Raw genomic sequence first — 5,179 nt, 5'->3', positions numbered from 1 at the left:
GACATTTTTAGCCTTAGACAACTCTTTATGTCACTGAGCTTGTTTTACCTGTAGCCTGATGAGGTCATTGTCCTCTCCACCCTGGCCCCTACAGCAGATTCCTCACCGCGTAACCTCAAAAACCCCTTCATGAGGGTGGTAATGCCTTCAAAGCCTGCAATGAATTAATTCTCTACTCCACTGGGTCCAGGTCTAGACTTCCAGAGAACAGTAGAGCCCATCTTCAGAAAGTAAGAGGCCTTTATTCCCTGAATTCACTGAATGAAAGCACATCATCATGGCAGGGTCCTCATCATCACCATCAGCTCCAACCCAGCCAAGACACTCAACATAGAGATGCATGCTAGAATGAAAGCTGGGAGAGCAGAGAAGGAAAGGAGGAACATTGAAGCCAATGGATATCCACACCCTCTCCAACGAATCTCCACCTCCTCTCACTGAGAAGGTTCAAGAAGGTTTGTCTCTGAGCCTTCTCCCAGCTATAAATCTAGGCAGACTCCTCCCTCCCCACACATCCGCTCCTGCTCTCTCTCCTCCAGGTGACCCCAGCCATAAGGAGCCTTGCCCTCCTTGCTGCCATTCTCCTGGTGGCCCTGCAGGCTCGGGCGGAGCCACTCCAGGCAATTGCTGATGAGGCTACAGCCCAGGAGCAGCCTGGAGCAGATGATCAGGAAGTGGTTGATTCCTTTGCATGGGATGAAAGAGCTCCTCTTCAGGTTTCAGGTAAGACAAGCCGGCATGCAGAGCTGCAGTGTCTAGAGGGACAGACAGGAGACAGAGTCTGGAATCGAGTCTCAATGGTCCATGTCACTTAGGTGGCTCCACTTAGCATCTCTAAGCCTTGATTTTCTCATCTATAAATTGAGTAGAGAGCCAAAGAAATCTAAGAGATTTTCTTCTCCCAAAACTTCATTCCAAGATATGTCTGTGAAATTCACTATGTTTAAAATACAGAGAGACATACTAACTAGTTCGTTCTGGATCTAAACAAGTAGACTTAATTATTAGGAGAATATTTTTCTCTGTCGATAGAGAATCTCTTTTAAAGACTCGGGATGGGCCTAACAGTGTGTTCAGGTGTGTATGTGATGGGGCCGGAGCACAAAAATGAAAGCAAATGAGAGTGAGTCTCAAATCCTGTGACACCAGCACTCCACTGTGTTTTTATTCCTATTGACTGAGGCTGTTTGTGCTACCGGCCCTAATACAGCCAACGTCACCTATCACTCAGCATGTGACTTCTCCAAGATTCCCTTTACCACCCACTGCTGACCTTGGTGCTCAATTTTGGATGCTGTCTCTGTGTCTGTAGGCTCAAGGAGGGGCTTGACCTGCACCTGCAGATGAGATTCCTACAGTCCTGGAGAACACCGTAGAGGGACTTGCAGTGCTCCTGGAGTACGCTACCCATACTGCTTCAGCTGAGCTTCCGGAAGAGAGAAAAACGAGCTCATAATTTGTCTTCAGAGCTACAGAGAATTGCTGTTACTCCTATACCCTGTCCTCAGTTTCCTTTCCTCATCCCAAATAAATGTCTTCTAACAAGACTTTTGTGTTTACACCTCTTTAACGTGTGGTATGTGTCTGTGTCAACACATTTGGGATACATGTACGTGAAACCTAAATCAAATTTTTGAACAAACTATAATTCATAATTCTAGGAATTTCAAGCAGGAATTTGAGCTTCAAACCTAAGTTGAAATGAAGGTCCAGTGTCACCACCAATCTCACTGTTCACTGTTCTGGCTTTTCACTCGGCCTCATTTTCTTCGGATCCATTGTGTGCTGGGCAAACACTCAGTGTCAGCTTAAAGTTTATGCAGTCACAAAATCGTTACTTCTCCAGGAAAATCAGTATCCTCTGTGCTAAAGAATGGGAGTTTTATTGAACATCTTCAGGTCACACATTTGCCTTTTAAGACGTAGGGTTACAGGAGATCCACTGAAACAACTTAAATTAAGAGAGAAATGGGTTGTTAGCAAAGGTGGGATGCATGGAACAGAAAGCACAGCAGCCCACACCGAGATATCCTCATTAAGAGCACCCTACAGCCACGTCTACTAAGACCTGGATTTCACACCCACAAAGTTGTCTTCACACCCAGAAAACACACACACACACAAATGCTCCACTGCACTTTGCAACACGCACTCTCTTGAGTTGCCTTAAAGCCACTGAGACCCTGATTCTGTTTGGAAAATACAGCTTCGCAGGGGAAAAGAGAAGAGAGGAAATAAATTTCATCAGGAGCTTGGCGGCCCTGTTGTTGTTGCAGGGCACTGAGGCTCTGATACTCAAAACATCCTGCACATCAGTGAGTGAGCAAGAAACCAGGCCTGGGGAAAGGGAATGAACCAGGAGAGCCCTCTGAGATGCTCAGAGCATTTGTCGGGAAGGCCACAGCGCCCCCTGATGTCCTGCCTCCAACTGCAGCCTCCCCACCAGGCACAGCACACGAGGGGTCTGCGCCTTCCTGATCCTGTCTTCCTCCTCCCCTCCGAGAGGACAGGGTCACTGCGTAACCCCGGTGTCCCTGAGGGCCAGACTGACATCTTGCTGGGGCGTGACATGACCTTTCCTCCTGTCTGTCCTCCCTTTCCCTCCCCTGATTCCCACTGACCCTTGAATCCTTGTCCAATATGTCCTACAAATGGCCTTTCAGGACATGACCATTTTCAGGAGTCCAGCATGAGCCCCTCGTATTTACTCTGGATCTGGTAGTTGCAGTTGGCCAATTTAAAACACGTTTGAAAAAGAAACTATATTCAAGCCATGGCTACTCGTAGCGGGTGGTCACTGGTAAGATGATGCAAGGAGTTTGAGTGGGACAGAGATTACAGGCTTCAAAGAAAGGAAGGTGTCTCTAGTGGGTTATTCACCATTCCAGGCTAAGACCTCTCATGGCCCAGACACTGCTGTGACCACCAACACCAACCACAAATGCCCAGAGCCCAGGAGAAGGGAGCAGGTGTTGCCCACATCCACCCCATGCAGATTCTAAGCAGCTGTCAGCCCCAGACTGAGGCTCTGCCTGTCTGAAGAGGCAGTTCAGGGGTCCACACACCCCACTGAGATGCTGCACAGCTGGGGAACCCAATACAGATCCCAGGGAGGACACAGTGGGTCTGATAGACACAATGGTCCCAGCTCTCCCCGTTGTTTAGACAGTGACGGTGATGGACCCAATAGGATTCAGGGTGTGAAGGCTGTGCACCCTTCTTTGGTTTCTGGTTCACTACCGCTGATTCAAAGTCCTCTGGTCATGAACTAACTCTGTATGTGCTCCTAAACTGTCATGTGGGCCAGGCTGACTCCATCTCAGGGCATCTGCACTTCACCAAAAATTCTGCATGGCTTGCTCCCCAGCTCTGGGGTCTCAGCTGAAATTTCACTTTGTCACTGTGTTCTTCCTCAATTTCTCAATTTTAAATTGCAACAAGTTCCCCCTGGTGACCTCTATCCCACTGGTTCTCTTTATTGCTAACTCTAGAATTATAACCATCTCACCTTCTGTACACTTCACTGACTCTCTGTAACATTTGCCTTCTTATGCTAGAAGGGAAACTGCATGTTTGGCTCATCGTACCACAGTGCATAGATGATTGCCTAACACATCATAGGGGATCAATACATTCATTATGAATAAACTAATTAATAATCTCTAACATCACGTATCATTACAAAATCACATTGTTATTACAAAACTGTCGAATAAACCTGAAAACTACACAGTTAAGACTGTCCTTGTTTCTAGTTCCTGTAATAGCATACCTTTAAGAATCAAATTCAAAACATTAAAGGCAGAAATACAGAAAAATATCTTGGGCAATATGTGGCTTAATGAAGCATTAGGACTTTAGAAGAAAAAAGAGATTATTTTGGCTTGCAGTGGCAGTAAAAAATTGTATGGTTAAGCATAAAGATATTTAAAACCTGGAGACACTTAACAAAGGAGTAGAGCAGCATGTTCAATGGAGAGAATAGCATCAGGGCAAGAGATATGCAAGAGGAGGTCAATCTCCACTGAAATGAGAGAAATTACTGTTGCAACAGAGAAGGATGGAGTAGAATTCGGGCCTATTTGCTTAGAAGCATCCATCAATCCAAGGGAAAGGGGCAGATGAGGACAGAGCCTCCCTGCTCCTCTGTGTGGATAAAGGCACACTGGGAGCACCACATGTGGCTTCTGCTACTGCAGTCTATGGTGAGCAATGACAGCTGCAAACTCTAGGGACAGAGAATGCAGGGAGAGATGTGAGGGTCTCCAAACAACCTGAGCAACTCGCTCAGCCTTGGATGAGATCCAGAACTGTTCCCCGGGATGCAGATAGAGTCTAGGTTCACTGATGATGTATAAGAGATTTTCTACCTTGAGCCACTCGTATGGTAGGACAACAAAAGAGTAAGTCAGATGCCTCATCCCTATAAATGTAATTATGCAAGGGTAGAGCAGCCATGTCTCTGTAGGAGGATAAAAGCCTAACTCCAATAAGCACAAATTAGCCAACACAGATGGCCCAATCACACCGGTCAACTTCCCTCCTAACGACCTCCAGAACTATCCCCCTAACTCCGAGCAGGGCTTACATTCTTCTGCCTTTGGCTTTAGGAGAGTGTAGGACAACCGTTTTCCCTATTGCAACATTTTGACTTTTTTGCAACAGTCTTCAATAAATGCTTCCTTGCATTTCTGAAACGTATGGGTGAAATTGTATTTTACAATAAAAGACATAGGCTATTTTTTCTGTTTCTCTGTTTGATTTTTCTGAACTCTGCTTACAAGAAAAAGCAGAATGTAATGGATGGGAAAATGATTTGTTCCCTTTTCTGAATATGTGTATTTTTTTTCTTTGCTGCTGAAAGCCAAATAACTCATTAAGAATCCTGGAAAAAGAGTTCACTCTGCTATTACCTGGCAGGTCACCCTCCCAATCTCTCACTATTTTTACCTTTGAATGACAGTGACCCTCAACAATCTTTTTTCCAATAATCTTTGTTTCACCCACTGGACACCCACTAATTCCTGCCAGCACCTGGAATTCCTCTAGCTCTGAACATCAACCAAGAAGCTCCCCAACCCTGATCTCATCAACTGTACTTCCAGCCTCTCATGTAGCTGTCCCTCCCTCACTGCTGATAAGCATCAATAAGGCTGTTCTCGGCTGGGCACAATGGCTC

At 45.9% G+C, this 5,179-nt stretch overlaps 1 pseudogene across 1 annotated transcript; it reads left to right on the top strand.

Annotated features, from left to right (window-relative positions):
* Positions 1-551: 551 nt before the first annotated feature.
* DEFA8P (defensin alpha 8, pseudogene) lies at positions 552-1,425 on the top strand (annotated as a pseudogene). The gene is made up of 2 exons (NR_073407.1): positions 552-723; positions 1,313-1,425. The product of NR_073407.1 is annotated as a defensin alpha 8, pseudogene (transcript).
* The last annotated feature ends 3,754 nt before the right edge of the window (positions 1,426-5,179 follow it).

Source organism: Homo sapiens, chromosome 8 (genome assembly GCF_000001405.40).
Source record: "Homo sapiens chromosome 8, GRCh38.p14 Primary Assembly".
Classification (NCBI taxonomy): Eukaryota; Metazoa; Chordata; class Mammalia; order Primates; family Hominidae; genus Homo; species Homo sapiens.
This window is presented reverse-complemented; position numbering and strand designations above follow the sequence as displayed.